Source organism: Homo sapiens, chromosome 4 (genome assembly GCF_000001405.40).
Source record: "Homo sapiens chromosome 4, GRCh38.p14 Primary Assembly".
In the NCBI taxonomy this organism is placed as follows: domain Eukaryota; kingdom Metazoa; phylum Chordata; class Mammalia; order Primates; family Hominidae; genus Homo; species Homo sapiens.
Genome location: NC_000004.12, coordinates 96,404,697 through 96,430,197, shown reverse-complemented (window position 1 = coordinate 96,430,197; position 25,501 = coordinate 96,404,697). Strand labels below are relative to the sequence as shown.

Here is a 25,501-nt window from a genome sequence, read left to right as displayed (position 1 = left end):
CTTATGACGTATTAACATACAGATGGTACACTTGAGGCTCTTTTCCAGGAGATTTCAATACAATCAACTTAGTTCTGTCTTTTTTCTGCATTGTCAACATTGAAACATTTGCATCTGGACAATGTGTAAATCTCAGAAAGATTTACTTTTACAGTGGAGATAGGTGGTTCTCTATACCCAATATCCTGTTTTGGAAGAATTTATGGTATAATAAAAAAGATATTTGTTTTTCATCCCTAGTACAAAGCTCCTAAGAGGCTTGTAATTTGCTGAGTGATAAAGGTGATAAGAACATCTTTTGTTCTAAAAAGGCAAATACTGGCAGGTCCCTAGAGAGCTTCAGGATAGGAGCTGATTGCCAGAAAGACCAAACTTTAATTAGAAGCTTGGAACTTTTAGCTCCTCCTCCCATCCTTCAGGAAAGGGTGGAGGGGATGGAGAATGAGTTAATTATTAATGTCCACAATTATGCCTGTATAATGAAACCATAAAAAACAAAAAACCAAACCAAGAAAAGAAAAAAAAAACCCTTTAATCAAAAGGGTTTAGGAGCTTCTAAGCTGGTGAACACATCCACATGCTGAGAGGGTGGTACAGCCCAACTTCATAGAAAAGAGAATTGTGAGCTTGGGACCCTTCCAAATCTTATCCTATGTATCTCTTCATCCAGCTGTTCATTCGTATCCTTTATAATAAACTATAATGGAAAGTATAGAATTTTTCTAAATTTTGTGAGCAATCCTAGCAAATGATCTACCCTGACAGGTGGGTTTTGGGAACTTCCAACTTTGTAGCCAAGTAGGACAGAAGTTTATATTAACCTGGGGATAGGGAGCTGATACTTATGACTGGTGTCTGAAGTGAAGGCTGTCTCATGGGACTGTGCACTTAAATGTGTAGAGTCTGATGCTAAATCCGGGTATTTAGTGTCAGAATGAAATTGAATTGTAGGACATTCGGATGGTGTTGGAGAATAAGAGATTTGGTTGGTGTGGGAGAAAACTTCTCAGGACTGTTAAACAAACATGAACTAGCACTTAATGACTTGGCAAATTGTTATCCTATTTATATATCAATGAATATAAGAAATTTAGGAGATTAATTATTAGGAAAGCATGCTGTGGGAGACACGGCTAAGGGTGTAGCTGTGCAATTTTTTACTGAAGAAATTAGGCATATGAATAAAGGGTATATTTAATCTTTTCAGTGGAAGTGAGAACTAAATGTGAGTTTTTCTAGGAACAACTGCAGGACCTTCTTAACTAATGGTGTGAATTCCTGTGACATTCACAGGAGTTCCGTAAGGTTTCTGAGAGTGTTACATCATCAGGAACATAGTTTGGAATGAAAGAGAAATAGGGCAAATTGAAGGAAGACTATGAGACTTGGGGGACTCTATAGGCAGGGGAAAAAAAAACTGTTGGAACTTCTCACCAGCAAACATGTGCTATCCTTCAAGAAAGAGGAAGAATTACTCCAACAGCAGAGCTTTGGGCCTAGAGAATGAAGCTGTAGCTAAAGAGATAAAGGCTGGGACACCCAGGAGCACAGAGGGCAGAGCCAGAGACCTAGAAATAGAGCCTCAAGTGATAGGGGATGATTCTTAGGCCTTGAAACCTAATGAAATTTTCCCTGTTGGATTTAGAACTTGCTTGGGATCAATAACCACTTTATTATTCCATGTTCTATTTTTAAAATGGAAATAGCTGTGACTGTTATAGTAATCCTGTTGTACCATTTTGGAAGTAGACAATTTGGAAGTAGATAAATAAGCCTTTTGGAAGTAGATAATTTTTTCTGGCTTCATAGGTCCACAAATGTAATAGAAAAACTTTGCATGAGGATGGATCATATCCAAAGTCCTATCCATACCTGATTTAGATGAATTATATGATGAAATTTGGCACCTTTGAACTAATAATATTTAGATGAGATTTTGGATTTAGCATTAATGCTTTAAATAGGCTGAGTATTTCGGGGAAGTTGGGTTGGGGTGAATATACTGTGAATGTGGAACAGATGTGAATTTTGAGTAACAGAGGGCAGATTGTAATGGTCTAGATGGTGTCCTCCAAAATAAGATTATTACCTTATTTTGTAAATGATGTTTGCATGTGGGGATTAAATTACAGGTCTTGAGAAGAGAAGCTTATCCTGGTTTATGCAGTCAGACCCTAAATGCAATCATGTGTATCTTTATAAGATAGAGGGAGATTAGACTGAGAAATACAAAATGAAACAAATACAGAGAAGAGGAGGAGGTCATATGACTATGGATACAGAGATTGGAGTGATGTGGTCATAATCCAGGGAACACCTGGAGCCACCGGAAGCTGGAAAAGGCTAGAAAAGGATTCTCCCACCAGGGGTTTTACAGGGAATACAGAGGTGCCCACATTTTGATTTCAGACTTCTTAGCCTACAGAACTTTGAGAGAATAAATTTATGTTGTTTTAAGCCACCCAGTTTGTGTTAAGTAACACAAAGAAACTAATGCATTTAACAACGAAACAACTAAATCTAATTTTACCTCTCCAGAGAAAGTTGGCATACAGAGAACTAACTGGAAGATTCATATGTTTGCCTTTTCCTCTGTCTTTATCAGTGCCATTTATCCTCCTTTTGCTGCTTATCAGGTGGTAGTAGAGGTAAAAGTTGCTATGTAAGTACAGAAGATTTTGTGTGTATAGCTAGGTATTACCCGCTAAGTTGAGAACATCAATAAAAATGCTGACAGTATAATAAGATTTGAACTAATATTTTTATAATAACTCTTTCAAAATGAAAACCTCTCATAATGGCAAAAATAACTTTACCTTTAAAAAGCTAAAAGTATAATTATTTCTTTCTCATTTTTCAAGTTATTTTTGTTACCACAATTAAGTCAATCTTAATAAGTATAATCAGTCAAAAATAGATTCTAAAATTGAGTTGTTGACAATATTAAGGCAACATAGTGCATACAACAGTACATATTTTCTAAGTTGGGCATGTAGAACTATGAAAAGTTGTAGGGCCAAAACAATGATTCTCAAATGGGTTTAAAGTGATGGAGAAAATAATAGAGTTATCTGGCCTCTTTAATCTGCTTATGCCCTCTGAGGATCTCATAGATGCCCTTTGGGAAAACATACTTTTTGCCTTGAAGAAAATTACTGTCACTATGAGCTGTTTACTAGAGATTTTGTAATTTTCCTCTGGTATATTGCAATAGAAATCAAGTATTATCTAGGGTTTAGTGTTCTGCTTGTAAGTCAACATCATGTATGTAAAAATGTATGAAAAAGTATTCATCCTTATTTCTATAATATGTGTCTTTACACACACACACACACACACACACACACTTTATAAAAAATTTGCCATTCTTAGGTTTTACAAGACCAATACTAAAAAAGACTGCTTATTTCTTCCCTGGCAATTTGCCTGCATTTTTTAAGACAGGCGTGTCAGTAATATAAGACTATGACTTCACTGTTACAACAGTTAAGGTTACTATGGTTTAGATATGGATTCAGGGTTTTTCTTTTTTTCTTTTTTTTTTTTTTTTTTTTGAGACGGAGTTTCGCTCTTGTTGCCCAGGCTGGAGTGCAATGGCGTGATATTGACTCACTGCAATGTCCACCTCCCAGGTTCAAGCAATTCTCCTGCCTCAGCCACCCAAGTAGCTTGGACTACAGGCGCCCACCACCACGCCCGGCTAATTTTTTGCATTTTTAGTAGAGACAGGGTTTCTCCATGTTGGTCAGGTTGGTCTTGAACTCCCAACTTCAGGTGATCCGCCCACCTTGTCCTCCCAAAGTGCTGGGATTATAGGCGTGAGCCACTGTGCCTGGCCAGATTCAGGGTTTTTCAACGAGTACTTCACAGAATCTTTAGGCATCTTGAGATGCCATTAGGTGTTCTGAGAGATCTTAAGACTAAAAGGAAATAATTTTGAACTGTGTGGTGCACAGTGATAGAGTTCAGAGTGATAGACAACACCTCTAGCAATTCTATTAGCATCTTTCAGTCCTATATAGCAGTGCACAGTAGGACACCATAATGATTTGGTTGAGCCTTTTGTGTATGTTCTCAGGTTTTGACATCAAATTGGGGTCAGGTAAGGGGGTGGGGGAACATTAAAAATCAGTGAGTAGTTGTATTAGTCCATTATCATGCTGCTATGAAGAAATCCCTGAGACTGTATAATTTATAAAGAGAAGAGGTTTAATTGACTCACAGTTCAGCATGGCTGGGGAGTCCTCGGGAAACTTACAATCATGGGGGAAAAGGAAGCAAACACGTCCTTCTTCACATGGCAGCAGCAAGGAGAATTGCCAAGCAAAAGGGGAAAAGCCCTTTATAAAATCGTCAGATCTCATGATTATTCACTATTATTAGAACACCATGGAGGTAACCGCCTCCATGATTCAATTACCTCCCACGGGGTCTGTCCCACAACACGTAGGGATTATAGGAAATACAATTCAATATCAGATTCGGGTGGGGACACAGACAAATCATATCAGTGCTCTATTGAGAAAGAGGAGGACAGTAGGCTGACAATGTCACCCTCTATGTATTTTTACCTCTTTAAGCCTTCTCTTAAGCACCACCTATTAAATTACAGGAGCAAGTCCCACATGTATCATTGAAAATGCTTCATCTGAAAACAAAGTTTTTATGCTCCATGAATCGGGAGTCCTCCTGATACTTTGCTATTATTGTTAAGTGCCGCAGAATATGAATAGTGTAGGTTGGAAGAGTTGTTAAGTTTTAACGTTTTTTGTTATTTTCTTTTTAAATTATTTATTGTTCATTTTTATGTTATTCATATTTCTGTTTACAAACATTTTTGCACGTCCATAATGGTGTTTCCTTAACTTGAAGTGTGAGATGGAAGAGGATGATTTTAGACATGTTTCTATGGATATTTTGATAAGATTGGTAATACAGGATTAAGATATTCAGTCATTTCAAAGTAATTGGCACCACAGCAACCAAGAAAAATACAAAAACTACAGCAACAACAACAATGAAACTTGTCTTTAACATAAATGTTAATTATTAATTAGTTTTACATGAACTAATAATCCAAGCTGTTATATCCTGTTGCAAATAATTTCTAAATGAAGGAATACTTGCAACAAATTTGAAAATACACTTAAATAAACTACACTTGCCCAGCAAGTAGAGCTGCTATAAATGGTACTGGAATCATCAATAAATTCAATGAAGTTTTTGTAAAAAAAAAAAGTCACATTCAATAAAAAGTCTCAAGAACCAAGTTATTTAGTAGCAGCAATTATTGACCAAAAAAGGAAAAGTTAAATAGTTGATGGGAACATAATGATGCCAGCTTGTAAAATTGTAGTGAAAAATGGTAGGTCAAGATGTAACTGGATAAATTGAAGACCCCACTGTCTAACAGTATGACAGACTGAAATATTGAAGGCACCTGAAGCTTGAAGACATTTCAGGGTAACAAATGGAAGAACAACAGTTTGTCCTTTTAGATTGATGAGTTAACTCATTTTAACATTAAATGTCAAACTCTAGCATTTGTAAAAGGTGTAAATGTTGGTGAAATTCATGAACAATGTTGCTCTGCTGCAAAGTACTATCTAAAACAAGAAAACGCCAAGATGTATTTAATGTTTTGTTTTCATATCTAGAAAATTCTGTTCAGGAGAAATTGTGTTGGCTTCTTTACCTATGTTATCCCATGAGTGGTTGGCTCTATGAGAGGTTTTGTCTATTGTATAAAATAAAATCTTGAAACTGTCATATAACACTTATTTATTCATAGAGAAATACTGGTGTCAAAAATACTTAAAGAGGAAATGAAAAGTAAAGTGTCTGGATAACGGCACAAAATGATTTACTTTATTAAATGATCAGTTTACTTGAGAAAATTTTTTAAACATATAAAAACTTGCACAAAGAGTACATAAATCTTTTAAAACATAAACAAATCTGGATTCATAACAGAGGGAGAGCTCTCGGGAAAAACTTTGGAGCTGAAAGGTGAATTTCAGTGGTATATTTGTGGAAATACTAAACCAAATTTTGTCAAATTATTTGAAAATGATAAATGGTCACTCAAACTAACCTAATTGTTTCTTCACTTGAACCAGTTGAATATGTCTCTGCCAAGTCCTATACTGACAAAATTTTTATGCACAAATGAAAACTATATCTTTGAAAAATCATGTTGGAGAAGAAAATCTTTATATGTTTCTACTTTGGGCTAGGCTTGAAAATGAAGTATATCAGTAAATTTCACCTCAATCCCACATTAATTTAAGGTGCTATTAACAGCTGGCCAGAAAAAAATTTATTTAGGAAAAACTTAATAACACAAGAGCCTCTACTGATATTATAAGGTTCTTAATAATATTACAAATCAGTTTTATCAATGTCTAGTTCTATTTGGGCTGCTATTAAAAAAATACCACAGATTGGGTGGATTATAAGCAACAGAAATATATTTCTCACATTTCTGGATGCTGGGATATAAAGATTAAGGCCTTGGAAGATTCAGTGTCTGATGTGGTCCTATTTCTCATAAATGGTGTCTTCTCACTGAGTCTTTATATGGTGGAAGGTGTAAAGCAGCTGCCTTGGGCCTCTTTTATAAGAGCACTCATCTTATTCATGAGGGCTCCACCCTCATGACCTAATCACCCCCTAATGACCCCACCTACTAACAACATCAAATTGATGATTCAATGTTAACAGAAATTTTGGGAGAACACAAACATTGAGATCATAGTAATCAAATAGCACAATGCAACAATTGAAAATCTAGGGAAAAAAATAGAAAATGGAAACAGATCATTAAGAAAACAGATTTAAAAATAATGTTAATTCATATAGTCAAAAATACAGAAAGAGATTTGAAATCCGCCAAAGATAATCAAACAAATACTCTAAAACTGAAAAAATAAATTAATAAAATTAAAAGTCAGTGAATATTAATAGCACACTAAACAGAGCAGAAAAAAGAATTAGGGAAGCAAAAGATAGTTTAGTAGAAAATACCAAATTAAAGTTCACAAAGAAAAAATAATTGAAAATGCAGAAAAAGTTATAAGAGCTATAAGGTATATGGAATAAAGTCTAATATTCAGGTATATTGGAGTTCCAGAAATAAAGAGGGAATAGGATAATCTCAAAAACAAAGAGATAAAAATTTTTTAAATAAGAATTTATATCAGGCATATATTAAAAAAGATATCATTACAAATTTGACTTAATCTACAAATTCAAAATAGGTTCAGCATTTGTATTAGTTTGTTTTCACATTGCTGCAAGGAAATACCCAAGATTTGGTAATTTATAAACAAAGGAGGTTTAACTGACTCACAGTTCTGCATATCGGGGAGGCCTCAGAAAACTTATAATCATGGTGGAATGGGAAGGAGAAAGAAGTACCTTCTTCACAGGGTGGCAGGAAGTGCGTGACTACAGGAAAAACTGCCATTTATAAAACCATCAGATCTTGTGAGAATTCACTCACTATCAACAACATGGGGGAAACCGCTCTCATGATCCAATCACTTCAAACCAAATTTCTCCCCTGACATTTAGGGATTATGGGGATTACAATTCCAGATGAAATTTAGGTGGGGACACAGAGCAAAACTATATAAGCATTTAAAAATTTATCAATGTAATTATCTACACTAACATAGTATGGAAGGAAAATCATCATATGATTATACTAATAAATGCAAAAAAAATTGTTAAAATTCACCAGCTATTTAAAATTTTAAAAAATATCAAGCAGACTAAAAATAGAAGAGAGTTTACTTAATATGATATGGGTATCTACCAAAATCTTACAGCTAACATCCTATTTAATGGTGATATATTGTAAAATTTCCCTGTGAATCCAGGAATGAGATAGAGAAGATTTCTAACATCCTTTCTATTCAATATTTTTTTGGAGAGAGTTTATTGATGAAAGAAAAATAAATAAATGGTATAGGTATTGCAAAGGAAGACATAACACTGTAATTATTCACAGAAAATTTTAGTATATATGAAATTCAAAAGAATATTAGACAATTAGAGTCGATATATGACTTTAGAAAGGTCAATGTATTAAATGTTGATGTAAAAAAGTCTTTTTCTTACAAACAATAACTAAGAAATACAATTTTAAAAAGATATTATCGAGTTATTGGGTGCAGCACACCAACATGGCACATGTATACATATGTAACTAACCTGCACGTTGTGCACATGTACCCTAAAACTTAAAGTATAATTTAAAAAGAGGTATTATTGATCAAAAAAGTAAACTAAGAAACTCGCTTAAGACTTCTACAACAAAGAATATTAATTAGATAAATTAAGAAAGATTAATCAATGGAGAAGACTCTTTTGTACACTTATCACTTCTTCTGAAATAATACTATAGATTCAATGCAATCTCAATAAAAATATCAGCACTGTATAATTGACGAGCCTATTTCAACTCATATAGAAATGAGATAACTAAGAATAAGGACAATTTTTAGGAAAAGAACATTGTTGGAAGATACAATTCCCAATTGTCATCAAAGCTTCTAGTAAAGTCTCACTTGTTAAAACAGGTGTATTAACTCAAGGATAAGCAAATAGACTAATAGGATGTAATAAATAGCACATAAACTGACTGGAGTAAGACAAAGATGTCTCTGCAATACAGTAGGGGAAAATGCTGAGTAATTGTATATCTGCATAGGAAAACAAACCTATTTACATCACATTGTACACAAAACCAGTTCCAGGTAGACTGAGATATATTTGACTGTTAAATAAATAATGCTTCTAGAAATAATATAATATCTATCACTTTGGGGGTAGAAAAAGAATTTTTAAACTAGCTACAGAAAGTACTAACCGTAAAAAAGATTGGTAATTGAACTCCATTAAAATTAGAAATTTGGTTTATCAAAAGAAACCATTAAGAGGGAGAAAATGCAAGTTACAGAGTGAGAAAAGATATATTTATATTCAACAAAGGACTTATATATAGAATAAGCAAAGAATTCCTAAATAAGTAAAAAAGAAAACACAAATTTTATAACATCTATAAAGTTTGAACTGGTCCTTACAAAAAGTAATCAAATGATCAATAAATCAATGTAAAGGATTTCAACATCAGTAGTTATGAGGTAAATAAAAACTAAAGCCTAAAATGAATGCCAAAACTTCATCACAGCAGTGGCAATAATTAATAATAATAATAAAAGATGATTTTAAGTGTTGGTGAAGATATGGAGCAAATAGAATGTTCATTCACTATTGGTTAGAATATAGATTGGTACAACTGATTTAGAAAACAGTTTTATAATATTTACTAAAGTTTAGCTTATAAATACTTAATGAGTTATTAAATGTAGACCAAGATTGTTCATGGCAGTTTTTCCAAAATCTTCAAACAATGCAAATGTTCACCAATAGAATGGTAAATTCTATGGGGCTCTACGAAGCATGGAAATCTCACAGACACAATAGTGAGTGAAAGAAGCAAGACACGAAATAATTTGTAACATTTTATGTCATTTATACAAAACTCAATCACAGGCAAAAAAAATTATGATGAGAGAAATCAAAGTAACCACTCTCTTTGAGACGTGGTAATAACTGGGAGGGGAGGAAATGGAGACTTCTGGGATGATGGTAAGATTCTATATCTTCATCTGAATTGTGACTATGTGAGTGCGTTATCACTGAGCTGTACAAATTATAATCTGTGTACTTCTCTGTATGTGTGTGATACTTCAATGGGAGCAAATTGAGATTAAAATAAATTGTGAGGCTGTAAGAAAAGAAGAAAATGAAATAGTTCTATGTAGCTAAGATTGTATTTGTGTTTGATTTACTGTTTTATGTGCATATTAGATACTAAAACATACTTTATTTTGGACAAAAAAAGAACCAGTCAAAATTATTTCAAAAGAAAATTATTGTTTAAAAATATTATAATCCCATTTTTGTCAAATACATGTCTTTAATACGTACTAAATTAATTGTTCTTAGATTACTAAGTAACTTTGTAATTACCTTTTACCTAAGTGCCAATTTGGGATATAGCAAATCTGTCTATCTTTGGACTCTGTTTTCCATTGATTCATGAGGCTATGCATGTTCAGAAGTTCAATTATGTTATTCATTTTATTTTTAGGATAAATTTAGAATTAGCTTGACTATTTCTAGTAAGGCGTAAAAACAATATTGGCATTGTACTGTGGTTATATTTTCAAATTAGACTTCACTGAATTAATATTGTTTTCCTAGCTAATGATAGAATGTGTATTACCATTTGTTCATCTTTTTGAAAATGTTCCACGATGGTGTTTAATAACTTTTTGTAGAGATTTTTTCTTATTTCTTACATATTTGTTTCTTAATATTCTTTTTCATTGCTTTAGTAGATGGGTTATTTGATATTTCATGGTGTTTTCCTCCATAGACTATGGGAAAACCACTTTAAAAAATAAATGATCTGATAAGCAGCTACCTAAGCACATTCTCTTGTAGTATGAAAAGACTTTGTTGTTGTTTTTCTTGTGTTTCTAGTACCCAGTTTTACCATCTGTAAATTGTGATAATTTTATTTCCCTCTTTCCAAGTTTCTGACCTCTAATTTCTTGTTTCTTTTTTTTAATTGCAGTGGCCCACTCTGCTCATAAAAATAATACATGTTTTATGAAGTTTTGATTAGGCATCCAGCATGATTTGCTCAGAATCTGAAGGCAGGGAGAATGGATGGTTGACTAAAAATAACAAATTTGGTGTTCATCGTCTGCAGTCTTCTTAAAAGACATTATATAGGGAGGAAGAGGGAAAAAGAGAACTACAACACTTATAACAATTATTATAGGGCCAGGTACAGTGTCTCACACCTGTAATCCCAGCACTTTGGGAGGCTGAAGTGGAAGGATCACCTGAGGCCAGGAGTTCAAGACCAACTTGGACAACATAGCAAGACCCCATCTCTTAAAAAAAACAAAAATTAAAGTTAGCAGGGCATGTTAATACATGCCCATAATCTTAGCTACTCAGGAGGTTGAGGTAGGAGGATCACTTTTGAGGATGAAGTGAGTTATAATTGTGCCACCATACTCTAGCCTGGGTGATAGAGAACCTTTCTCTAAAATAAAAATTTTTTAAAATTATAATAACATTTTCCATAAGGAATTGAAGTAAATTCATTTATTATTATATATATTACATATAATACTCTCTATATATATTTATATACCCTAGGCTTCTAACAGATCATATCTGTTTTTGACAAATGGGAACAACATTCAAATAATCACTCTAATTCAAGGTGTGTATATTTATAATCTTAAAATACATAAGTCATCTTTTTAAGCTCATTTATAAGAGCTTACATACTAGTCAGTGAGTGGACAAGGGTTAGTGCAGAAAACTACACTTGGTTGGAGACGAATTTTGTCATAAAAACACGAAGGCAGAGCCCTAATTCCACTGTGCAGTACTTATTTGCCAGGGAAGGAAATAAAGATTGTCATCCAAGTCATTACCAATGATGAAATAACTTCTCCCTACCTCATATTCCACCAATAGTACCTTCTGGGTTTTCAAACATTTCCTTTTAAAAAGTTCTAGCAGCAAAGGGGGATTGAGGAATGGAAATCTCTAGAGGCTCTCCATATATGTGAACTTTCTGTTAAGCGTTCTCTTTTCTGTAAAAGAACCTCAATATTTTTTCCTCTTTACCATATCTTATTTGTTTGCATATAAATATAGTTTTAAAAATATTAAAATTACTTTCCTGAGAGATGTGCCAGTTTGTTTTGTGGCTTCCACGGAGAGAGGGCTGCCATTTGAGAAACACCTAACCTTTATGGTAGATTGTAATATTCCATATGTGACTCCCAAGCCCTGAGCCAACAGAGTAGCTGAGGCCAGTACAAACCATAGAGTGTCATTAGTATTTTCTAGCTTACATCTACATTTCCATCTTTTATTTCAATCTCTGAATAGAGCCAGGTGACTTATCATCAAAAATACATTTCAAGAAATCGTTGCACCCTGAACAGCACCATTCTGCAGTGTAATAAATGAAGCATGTTTTTATTTGCCGCATTGTCATATTTGTTAGAGCCAGTGGTGGTATATATGCCAGAATTACTTTGTATAAATAAATAAAAGGCTAAAAATTATGCACTTTTATAAGTTCTTGAATACTACATAGGATGAAAGGAGAAATAAATATGAACAATACTGGCTTTAAAAAAAACAGTCAGGCTCTAGCAACTATTTTGAAAGGCTAGCAACCTTACTTTTTATTCATTTCAATCCCCTTAGCTACTCTGAATTATTTAAATGATATATGTTTATACTAGGTAGAACCCATTTGTGTGTTTATCCAGGGGCAAATTATAGAACAATGTGTTTCGTATAGAAGTCTATTTTTGATGTTCTATTTTTCACACTAAAAAACTTGATGCAGCATGGGTCAATGGGCTGAAACTTGTGCCAGTTCTTTTTATTGAAACATTAAATTTGGAATCTTTCTCTGGAGTCGGCAGAAGGCAAGTAATCTATTAGAGTGTGCACAAAAGTTTTTTTCTCCTATGACGATTGTATTTCTGTTTTCTACACATGTCATTACTCTTATTATTCTATTATTCTGTGACAAAACAACATGTAATTTTGTGTATGCACATTTGTATGTATGCATAGTATATCTGTGCATTGTGTATAATTTAACTTATTAAATTGAAAGATATACAATGGAATATAATAGTGTTTAAGAGAAATATTTATGGAGTAAAAGTAGATAGCTTAAACCCAGCTGTATCATTACCTGAGTGATTTTGAAGTTGTTATTTAACTCCTTCAAGCCTTAATTTCCCCATCTATAAAGTGATAAAACAAAAATTTCTATTCCATACAGCTGTTACCAGAATTAATCCAGGTGACCCATGTAAAATACTATGCAATTGCTACTTGCTAACTCCTATTATTACAATTAGCTTTCAATAAATATTTGAATACTGGCAATAGTTTTTTAAAGCCATTTAGTTATAATTATATCATCATCCTTCAGTTCCGAAATTTACTGTTATCTCAGGCAAGTTATTTACCCTCTCTGAGCCTCAGTTACTCATTCATAAATAATGATAATAATATTACCTATTTCATGTGGTGTCTCAAAGATAAATGAGATGAAACATGGAAAGTGTTCAGAACTGGGTGGCACATGGTAAATGCTCAATAAATATTTGTCAACATTATTATTATTGGCTTTTCTACTAATATTATATTTTAATTTAATGAACTAAGATTTAATATTTTACTTAATTTCTCTTGTTCTATCTTTTATGCTCCTTTCCGGTTTCAAGAAAATCTCTTATATAAAACTTCATTCTCTACAAATTATATATGTGTCATATATTTTTTTTCCTTAAATCAGTAACTAAACTTCCTTTGGAGACTATTAAATACAAAATGCATATTTATCTTTATTTTCTACCTCAAGGCAAATAAATCACCTTTTATATTATTTGATGGTGAATGGCAAGGTTGTTTCTCCTCCTCTGGTACCCTCCACCAGGGCCATATTGTATAGTAGAGACACATCAGTCAAAATACACAGAAGACCATAGTTCTTAGCAAGGGCTAATAAAACATAAATTGCAAGCAGACTATTTGATAGTTATTGCACTTGTCAAACCAAACAAGCTATTGCTTGAGTGGTATGACTTAGTGGAAAGCCTTGCAAGTAAATCCCAGCACTTGTCTGACCCTGCTGGACTCACGAACTCTCTAATGGCAGCAACATTCCACTGCCTGAACAAAGTCATTGCATAGCATCAATGAGCACACCTCAGAGGCTCTAAGGACAACCTGGGCATAGCTACAAAAAATGGAATTATTGTCTAAAGATACAGAGGTTGCTGTTAGTACCTGACAAATCTATTCATACCTAACTTAATACAAAACAAATGTATCTTCAAGTGATAGTACCAAAGCCCATTTTATGTGTCACTTCAATCTCCAAAACTCGGCATATTATTACTTGTTATGTTTTATGGATCTTTCTCCACTATCACATCTTTCATACTTAAGAAGGTATAATATTTAGGGTTCTTATGCAAATTAAATAATGATTATGTTAGAACTTGTATTGCCTTCTAAACCAAAGCTAAGAGCTCTGAACATAGCAGCAAGTAATGTTTCCCTTCAACCTATTTATTTTTGGAGGGGAGAGTAGTAAAAGAAACATACAATTTTGTTAACCTGAAACTAATTTATCATGTTTCACTGTTTTTATCTTTATATTATTTCATAAAATAGTGTTTTCCTCGCATTTTTATGAGTTGCTTACTGTTTCACATCGTTATTGCATATTGCCCTAATAAGTACTTAAAGGGAAACATCCAGATTTCATGCAATGTACAGTTTAATTCAAATTGACAAATATTTTTTCAGAAATTAAGATTGTCAGAGGATGTGCCTGACTATGATGGTAGAGTTTGCAATTTCAATAATTTTTAATCATGTCTCTTCATGTTGTTAAATGTTGCTATGTGCTACCATTTATGTTATATATTTTTCAACAAAATACATGGACAGCATATATTTTGGAAAATGAGTTAATTTGGGCAGTGTTTCCTTCTATTTTCTTTTGTTGTGTTCTTTTATATCTGAAGCACTTGCAAATTTCCTGTGTAAATATTGAAAAAAATTAGAAACTACACATGTGCAAATGAATAAAAGAAGCAGATGACAGTTACCCTGTTACTCGTAAATATAGTACCTTTGTTTCTTGGCAGGAGCAAGATGGCATATCTGTTCTTCCTAACTTCCACATTCCCTTGTCCATTTAGACACATTTCTTGACATCTATAAGTCTTAATATCTTCTATTGTGTAAATAAAATAATACTTCCGTATTCTTAGGTTTGCCCTGAGTCTAAAATGAATGACGCATATAAAATGCATAACACAGTATTCGGGGGAGGAGCCAAGATGGCCGAATAGCAACAGCTCCGGTCTACAGCTCCCAGCGTGAGCGACGCAGAAGATGGGTGATTTCTGCATTTCCATCTGAGGTACCGGGTTCATCTCACTAGGGAGTGCCAGACAGTGGGCGCAGGTCAGTGGGTGCCCGCACCGTGCGCAAGCCAAAGCAGGGTGAGGCATTGCCTCACTCGGGAAGCACAAGGGGTCAGGGAGTTCCCTTTCCTAGTCAAAGAAAGGGGTGATGGACGGCACCTGGAAAATCGGGTCACTCCCACCCAAATACTGCGCTTTTCCAACGGGCTTAAAAAACGGCGCACCACGAGATTATATCCCACACCTGGCTCGGAGGGTCCTATGCCCACGGAGTCTCACTGATTGCTAGCACAGCAGTCTGAGATCAAACTGCAAGGCGGCAGCGAGGCTGGGGGAGGGGCACCCGCCATTGCCCAGGCTTGCTTAGGTAAACAAAGCAGCCAGGAAGCTCGAACTGGGTGGAGCCCATCACAGCTCAAGGAGGCCTGCCTGCCTCTATAGGCTCCACCTCTGGGGGCAGGGCACAGACAAACAAAAAGACAGCAGTAACCTCTGCAGACTTAAATATCCCTGTCTGACAGCTTTGAAGAGAGCAGTGGTTCTCCCAGTACGCAGCTGGAGATCTGAGAACCGGCAGACTGCCTCCTCAAGTGGGTCCCTGACCCCTGACCCCCGAGCAGCCTAACTGGGAGGCACCCCCCAGCAGGGGCACACTGACACTTCACAAGGCAGGGTACTCCAACAGACCTGCAGCTGAGGGTCCTGTCTGTTAGAAGGAAAACTAACAAACAGAAAGGACATCCACACCAAAAACTCATCTGTACATCACCATCATCAAAGACCAAAAGTAGATAAAACCACAAAGATGGGGAAAAAACAGAACAGAAAAACTGGAAACTCTAAAAAGCAGAGCGCCTCTCCTCCTCCAAAGGAACGCAGTTCCTCATCAGCAATGGAACAAAGCTGGACGGAGAACAACTTTGACGAGCTGAGAGAAGAAGGCTTCAGACGATCAAATTGCTCTGAGCTATGGGAGGACATTCAAACCAAAGGCAAAGAAGTTGAAAACTTGAAAAAAATTTAGAAGAATGTATAACTAGAATAACCAATACAGAGAAGTGCTTAAAGGAGCTGATGGAGCTGAAAACCAAGGCTCGAGAACTACGTGAAGAATGCAGAAGCCTCAGGAGCCGATGTGATCAACTGGAAGAAAGGGTATCAGCGATGGAAGATGAAATGAATGAAATGAAGCGAGAAGGGAAGTTTAGAGAAAAAAGAATAAAAAGAAATGAGCAAAGCCTCCAAGAAATATGGGACTATGTGAAAAGACCAAATCTACGTCTCATTGGTGTACCTGAAAGTGACAGGGAGAATGGAACCAAGTTGGAAAACACTCTGCAGGATATTATCCAGGAGAACTTCCCCAATCTAGCAAGGCAGGCCAATGTTCAGATTCAGGAAATACAGAGAACACCACAAAGATACTCCTCGAGAAGAGCAACTCCAAGACACATAATTGTCAGATTCACCAAAGTTGAAATGAAGGAAAAAATGTTAAGGGCAGCCAGAGAGAAAGGTCGGGTTACCCTCAAAGGAAAGCCCAACAGACTAACAGCGGATCTCTCGGCAGAAACCCTACAAGCCAGAAGAGAGTGGGGGCCAATATTCAACATTCTTAAAGAAAAGAATTTTCAACCCAGAATTTCATATCCAGCCAAACTAAGCTTCATAAGTGAAGGAGAAATAAAATACTTTACAGGCAAGCAAATGCTGAGAGATTTTGTCACCACCAGGCCTGCCCTAAAAGAGCTCCTGAAGGAAGCGCTAAACATGGAAAGGAACAACCGGTACCAGCCGCTGCAAAATCATGCCAAAATGTAAAGACCATCGAGACTAGGAAGAAACTGCATCAACTAACTAGCAAAATAACCAGCTAACATCATAATGACAGGATCAAATTCACACATAACAATATTAACTTTAAATATAAATGGACTAAATGCTCCCATTAAAAGACACAGACTGGCAAATTGGATAAAGAGTCAAGACCCATCAGTGTGCTTTATTCAGGAAACCCATCTCGCGTGCAGAGACACACATAGGCTCAAAATAAAAGGATGGAGGAAGATCTACCAAGCAAATGGAAAACAAAAAAAGGCAGGGGTTGCAATCCTAGTCTCTGATAAAACAGACTTTAAACCAACAAAGATCAAAAGAGACAAAGAAGGCCATTACATAATGGTAAAGGGATCAATTCAACAAGAAGAGCTAACTATCCTAAATATATATGCACCCAATACAGGAGCACCCAGATTCATAAAGCAAGTCCTGAGTGACCTACAAAGAGACTTAGACTCCCACACATTAATAATGGGAGACTTTAACACCCCACTGTCAACATTAGACCGATCAACAAGACAGAAAGTCAACAGGGATACCCAGGAATTCAACTCAGCTCTGCACCAAGCGGACCTAATAGACATCTACGGAACTCTCCACCCCAAATCAACAGAATATACATTTTTTTCAGCACCACACCACACCTATTCCAAAATTGACCACATACTTGGAAGTAAAGCTCTCCTCAGCAAATGTAAAAGAACAGAGATTATAACAAACTATCTCTCAGACCACAGTGCAATCAAACTAGAACTCAGGATTAAGAATCTCACTCAAAACCGCTCAACTACATGGAAACTGAACAACCTGCTCCTGAATGACTACTGGGTACATAACAAAATGAAGGCAGAAATAAAGATGTTCTTTGAAACCAACGAGAACAAAGACACAACACACCAGAATCTCTGGGATGCATTCAAAGCAGTGTGTGGAGGGAAATTTATAGCACTAAATGCCCACAAGAGAAAGCAGGAAAGATCCAAAATTGACACCCTAACATCACAATTAAAAGAACTAGAAAAGCAAGAGCAAACACATTCAAAAGCTAGCAGAAGGCAAGAAATAACTAAAATCAGAGCAGAACTGAAGGAAACAGAGACACAAAAAACCCTTCAAAAAATTAATGAATCCAGGAGCTGGTTTTTTGAAAGGATCAACAAAATAGATAGACCACTAGCAAGACTAATAAAGAAAAAAAGAGAGAAGAATCAAATAGACGCAATAAAAAATGATAAAGGGGATATCACCACCAATCCCACAGAAATACAAACTACCATCAGAGAATACTACAAACACCTCTATGCAAATAAACTAGAAAATCTAGAAGAAATGGATAAATTCCTCGACAAATACACTCTCCCAAGACTAAACCAGGAAGAAGTTGAATCTCTGAATAGACCAATAACAGGCTCTGAAATTGTGGCAATAATCAATAGCTTACCAACCAAAAAGAGTCCAGGACCAGATGGATTCACAGCCGAATTCTACCAGAGGTACAAGGAGGAACTGGTACCATTCCTTCTGAAACTATTCCAATCAATAGAAAAAGAGGGAATCCTCCCTAACTCATTTTATGAGGCCAGCATCATTCTGATACCAAAGCCCGGCAGAGACACAACCAAAAAAGAGAATTTTAGACCAATATCCTTGATGAACATTGATGCAAAAATCCTCAATAAAATACTGGCAAAACGAATCCAGCAGCACATCAAAAAGCTTATCCACCATGATCAAGTGGGCTTCATCCCTGGGATGCAAGGCTGGTTCAACATACGCAAATCAATAAATGTAATCCAGCATATAAACAGAACCAAAGACAAAAACCACATGATTATCTCAATAGATGCAGAAAAGGCCTTTGACAAAATTCAACAACCCTTCATGCTAAAAACTCTCAATGAATTAGGTATTGATGGGATGTATTTCAAAATAATAAGAGCTATCTATGACAAACCCACAGCCAATATCATACTGAATGGGCAAAAACTGGAAGCATTCCCTTTGAAAACTGGCACAAGACAGGGATGCCCTCTCTCACCACTCCTATTCAACATAGTGTTGGAAGTTCTGGCCAGGGCAATTAGGCAGGAGAAGGAAATAAAGGGTATTCAATTAGGAAAAGAGGAAGTCAAATTGTCCCTGTTTGCAGATGACATGATTGTATATCTAGAAAACCCCACTGTCTCAGCCCAAAATCTCCTTAAGCTGATGAGCAACTTCAGCAAAGTCTCAGGATACAAAATCAATGTACAAAAATCACAAGATTCTTATACACCAACAACAGACAAACAGAGAGCCAAATCATGAGTGAACTCCCATTCACAATTGCTTCAAAGAGAATAAAATACCTAGGAATCCAACTTACAAGGGATGTGAAGGACCTCTTCAAGGAGAACTACAAACCACTGCTCAAGGAAATAAAAGAGGATACAAACAAATGGAAGAACATTCCATGCTCAAGGGTAGGAAGAATCAATATCGTGAAAATGGCCATACTGCCCAAGGTAATTTATAGATTCAATGCCATCCTCATCAAGCTACCAATGCCTTTCTTCACAGAATTGGAAAAAACTACTTTAAAGTTCATATGGAACCAAAAAAGAGCCCGCATCGCCAAGTCAATCTTAAGCCAAAAGAACAAAGCTGGAGGCATCACACTACCTGACTTCAAACTATACTACAAGGCTACAGTAACCAAAACAGCATGGTACTGGTACCAAAACAGAGATATAGATCAATGGAACAGAACAGAGCCCTCAGAAATAACGCCGCATATCTACAACTATCTGATCTTTGAGAAACCTGAGAAAAACAAGCAATGGGGGAAGGATTCCCTATTTAATAAATGGTGCTGGGAAAACTGGCTAGCCATATGTAGAAAGCTGAAACTGGATCCCTTCCTTACACCTTATACAAAAATCAATTCAAGATGGATTAAAGATTTAAACATTAGACCTAAAACCATAAAAACCCTAGAAGAAAACCTAGGCAGTACCATTCAGGACATAGGCATGGGCAAGGAGTTCATGTCTAAAACACCAAAAGCAATGGCAACAAAAGACAAAATTGACAAATGGGATGTAATTAAACTAAAGAGCTTCTGTACAGCAAAAGAAACTGCCATCAGAGTGAACAGGCAACCTACAAAATGGGAGAAAATTTTTGCAACCTACTCATCTTACAAAGGGCTAATATCCAGAATCTACAATGAACTCAAACAAATTTACAAGAAAAAAACAAACAACCCCATCAAAAAGTGGGCGAAGGATATGAACAGACACTTCTCAAAAGAAGACATTTATGCAGCCAAAAGACACATGAAAAAATGCTCACCATCACTGGCCATCAGAGAAATGCAAATCAAAACCACAATGGCATACCATCTCACACCAGTTAGAATGGCAATCATTCAAAAGTCAGGAAACAACAGGTGCTGGAGAGGATGTGGAGAAATAGGAACACTTTTACACTGTTGGTGGGACTGTAAACTAGTTCAACCATTGTGGAAGTCAGTGTGGCGATTCCTCAGGGATCTAGAACTAGAAATACCATTTGACCCAGCCATCCCATTACTGGGTATATACCCAAAGGACTATAAATCATGCTGCTATAAAGACACATGCACACGTATGTTTATTGCAGCACTATTCACAATGGCAAGACTTGGAACCAACCCAAATGTCCAACAATGATAGACTGGATTAAGAAATTGTGGCACATATACACCATGGAATACTATGCAGCCATAAAAAATGATGAGTTCATATCTTTTGTAGGGACATGGATGAAGTTGGAAATCATCATTCTCAGTAAACTATCGCAAGAACAAAAAACCAAACACCGCATATTCTCACTCATAGGTGGGAATTGAACAATGAGATCACATGGACACAGGAAGGGGAACATCACACTCTGGGGACTGTTGTGGGGTGGGGGGATGGGGGAGGGATAGCATTGGGAGATATACCTAATGCTAGATGACGAGTTAGTGGGTGCAGCTTACCAGCGTGGCACATGTATACATATGTAACTAACCTGCACAATGTGCACATGTACCCTAAAACTTAAAGTATAATAATAAAAGAAAAAAAATAAGAAAAAGAAAAAAAAATGCATAACACAGAATAGATACTGGACAAATTTAATTCTTCTCTTCCTTTCTCCTTTGGTTGAAACTAGTAATTAACAGTCAAAAATGGATCTCTTAACTATACATTTAATTTGAGATGCAATTACAAGGATATGTTGGCTTCTGAATGAGAAATTGATGCTTGATGAAAGTGATTCTTACTGGAATGAATAGAAATGAATTGAAGATTAGAGACTTCACAGCTATGAATCTAATGTGAGCATATAGGTCTTTGCACAGACAAACTGCATGGCAGTTAGAGATTATGATGCAAAAAATAGATTAAAAATAGATTTTAGAAATGCTTCGAAGTTAAATAATTATAGTTTTTATATGATAGAGAATAAGAAAAGAGAGGATTACCTTTTCATTCTAAATTTGATTAAATGAAATAACACAGCTTACAACAGCATTGGCAAAATTATAATTAAGGACACTCAGATTGTCTCAAAAGTTACATTGGTTTTTAGAAGAGAAAGCTATGGATTCATATTATCCAGCAATAAAAATGTTAGTATGAGTAAACTAAGAGTGACACATATACCTATTTCAAGCAGGTATAGTTATGAAATCAATTATGAAGTTCAGACAAAAGAGCAGTACATGGAATCATGATGTATGTTCCAAAAGAAAACACAATATTTATGACTATTACTATACATAATAAGAGGTGGGGCAGAATAAGTTAGGATGGTAGAGGGATAACTAGCTGATACATAGCTCCTCCATCCCCTAAAATGGAAATTTTGCTTCAAAGTGACAGGCCAAAACCAATCCTTGGTAAAGGCCAAAAAGAAGGAAGGCCTCTGCGAGTTAATCATTTTGAGCTGACCCCAGTTGGTCTTCATGCTCCACTAATGCAGAGACAGGGCGACAGCATTTCTTTTCATTGATAATTGCTGACTGAGTTTGGAAATACTGAATTTGAGAAGAGAGGAGGAGAGGTAGGGAAAACAGCTTTTTATTCACTGCATAAATGCTGCCTAATCAGCTGTAGCAAGCAGGAAGTTGCCAGTGAGAGAGGAGAATCACAGGGTGCCTATTAAATTCAGTTTCTGCTCTTGATTCAGTTTTATCGCTTGGTAAACAAAGCTTGGGTTTAAATGATTTAGGGTTCATGAGTCCAGACCAAGTTTCTTCTACTCAAGGAGCTGGGTCAGTTTGTGACCAGCCTAACTAAAAATTCATAAATATAATTGTTTAATCTGTTGTGTAAATTGAGAGTCGCTCTGGATTTTTAATCCCCATTTACTTTTCATTCGGCAATGCTCTGCTGTCTCCAGCCTGAGAGGAATCTGACTCACATACAATGGGAAGCTCTAGATGTTTTTGCCTCTGAGACATACTCAGTTTATTGTGGTTTCTCCATTCATCATTTTATACTGCCCTTGACTGAAACTGGACTTGAACAGAACTCTCCTGAGTTACCTCTGAACAGAAAATCTTAGTCTAGTCACTATTTATTAATGCAGACAGTAATACATAATGAAATGCCATTAATTCACAGATGCAATATTGGTTTCTAATTTGAGGCATCACATATAATTATCAGTAGATTAGTTACTCAGATTCATAGCCTGGAGACTGTGGGGAAAATGTGCCTAATTCTACTACCTGAACTGTCAGAAAATAGAATGATGTCTATTTCTTATGAGGGCAACTAGGAAATCTCTGAAGCCTTCACATCGTTATAAATTTATGGCTCAGTCCATAAAGAGAGCTCCAGAAAATCAGCTCTGCTGCTTGTTATTTCTCCACAGCTCTCATCTCAGACTGTGCTTGCAAAGAGCTTCATCTTAGAAAAAGCACTTTATTTCAGTGCAACAGTTAGAGGCCATTATCCTGCTGGATTTGGGGGTAAAGGGCATCAAAACATGGCAGCCGTATTTCTAAAGCCCTGACTTCGGAAAGTTTAAAGGAGTTCAACGTTTGATCAACCTTTTGGGGGGCATGCTTCTTATTCATGGCATGAATTGCTAACCTCTGACTTTGTGTTTGCTTAGCTAATATAAAGCATTTGCACCCCAGAGCAACCCTGCTTATGCTCACATCTATTGTTCAAGACTAGGTTCAGAAAGTGCTTTTCCATTCTGGGAAAGAGGAACAGGCATACTGAAGCTTCAATTATATATTCACAAAGGCTGGCCTTTCTGCAAGGAAGTATAAATGTTTGTAGAAAACATTGTCTATCTTGGCTTTGAGGCAAACACAGTCAGCAGGGAAGTGTGGGGATGTCAGGTAAACATAATCAAGCCATTCGTGGGAAATATGAGAGGAGAAAGAGGGAGATTAATGAAGCCTGGATTCAGCCGGGTTGTTTCGCAGTCTATTTAGCTAAATTGTCTTTCTCTAATTGTTTTTCTCCCAGGATCTTAAAAAAGAGAGAGGCAATTTCAATATTATAAAGCTAAGCTTTATTATTAGCAACTTCAATTCTTTCACAAAGAAATATGTACAGTATTATGGTAGCAACCAGTAAAAATTCTAGTTAAGGATTTGTCAACAATTCCAGGATAGACTTTTGTTTTGGAGATTTCTATTTCAAAAGTTAAATATTTGCTTTAGGGTAAAATGGCTCAAATATTCTCATCCCAAGAGCATTTTCCTTTGCCCAACATTTTTTTTTTAATCTTCAAAAAAGTGATCTTTGTCAGTGCTTTTCTGAAGACTTCTGTTCATAATTTACATGAATGTTAATAGTGTGAAGACATAAAATTAAGATTCAACTCAGTCATTGAGAATAGAATTATAAACAGTAGTAATCATCTCAAATTCAAAATTATTTTTCTATTACGGTGGATCTAGCTGAATGTCAATCATCTATAAAAATGGAAAATAAGGATGGGTAAATTAAGTACCTAATATATTCCTAAACCTCATGTAAATTAATAATTTTCTTCATTTCTTCTTAGTGGTTCCTACCAACTATCAATCAGACCAATAAATAAACTTGAGCAACAATGGCACTACTTTTTATCAACTTTCAGAGACATACATACATTATTAAGCAGGAAAATGGTCATATAAGCAATAAAAAAGAAAGATAATTCAACAAATATCTAGAATGAGACTTGTGACTCATAGACAGACTTTGAGGAAATTCATGGATCCCAGATATTCAACAGGTTTAGTGTATGTGTATGCATGTGTATGAATATGCCTATATAGGAATATGCATACTATGTATATACCATGTAAATGTGTTTATTTTTTCTGACAAAATCAATTTAAATGTGAACTAATTTAAATAATTCCATTTATTAATTTATGAACAATTAATATATGACTGTACTATAGTAGAACTGCCCTAGCTCATCTTAATGTCTTCTGCTGAAGTATCTAGAACCTCTAGAAAAATCTAATATAGCCTGAAATGTTCTTTCAAATATATGCTTCATAGCTAAGCATTCATCATTTTATGCAAGAAAGAAAATGGTGAGGATAAGAATGTAAAACTTAATATATTAGGTAAAGCACTAGTGCACAAGAAGCCTGGAAGAGAAACATTCATAAAAATTGTAGTGAATGGAAACAAAAATGGGTGATAGAAGAAATGCATGTCTTTGTCCCAACAATGTGACCCTGGGCAACTCACAGACTTTTCAGCTCTCTTTGACATCATGTGTAAAATGAGGCTTCTTATGACTCTAACAATATATGATTGCATGATTTCTTTTCATCAGTGAACAGAGATATTCATTTTTTTCCTATCCAATTTTGGGTTAAGAGAACTTCAAAGAAAAGACTGATTTTACTTAAATTTCTTAGAAATGTTTGGGAAATTTTTAATCATTTTTATTGTAAATTCTAATGAAGGTTGGGATTATTTTTCTTTTCTTTGCCTAATTTTTGTCTTATTTTTTTCTTCCCCCATAATCACAAGAGAGCAAAACATAAAGAACTTTTTCTCTTTTTTTCTGCTAAGATGATTGGTAATCCATAAGTGGCTACAAATATCTGATAAATTTAGACACAAAGACATACTAGACCTGAAAGACCTGCCTGTTAGTCCTTAAAAGGTCAATACTGAAGCAGTACCAGAATATGTTGGAAAGTCAGTGGAGTGGTATTGGATGACATTACAGCAAGATTAAAAAAAAGATGAATGAATAGAAGCATTAAATAAAGCTGTGTTACTGTGGGCAAATACTTAATCTTTCTATTTTCTAAAATTCTAAAATGGGAACATTAACAGAACCTAAATAACAATGTTAACATGAAAACAAAAATTATAGAATAATTACATAATTTTTAGCTACTATTTTTGTTATTAATAACAAAGTCAACTCACAAATGATTATTTGAAGCACTGAAAGGTATTGAAAGAACAGACTTTGCAAGTATATACTGGAAGAAAACTAAAAAAAAAAAAGTTTTCTCTACTGGGAGCATCTTTGAAATAAAGATGTGCTACCTGTTCTTCTCTCCTCTCCTCATAATGTTATATATTAGGAAACTA

At 35.4% G+C, this 25,501-nt stretch overlaps 1 long non-coding RNA gene across 1 annotated transcript in view, besides 1 other annotated feature; it reads right to left on the bottom strand.

The window, feature by feature from the left end:
* Window positions 1–25,501, bottom strand: part of LINC02267 (long intergenic non-protein coding RNA 2267) — a 507,713-nt gene that overhangs the window by 388,218 nt on the left and 93,994 nt on the right. The window lies entirely within an intron of this gene.
* Window positions 1,413–1,613: a silencer, noted in NCBI's record as "peak5077 fragment used in MPRA reporter construct". NCBI's record gives its function as "represses an SCP1 promoter by STARR-seq MPRAs in K562 erythroleukemia cells {active_cell/tissue: K562}" and the evidence as "EXISTENCE:reporter gene assay evidence [ECO:0000049][PMID:32103011]".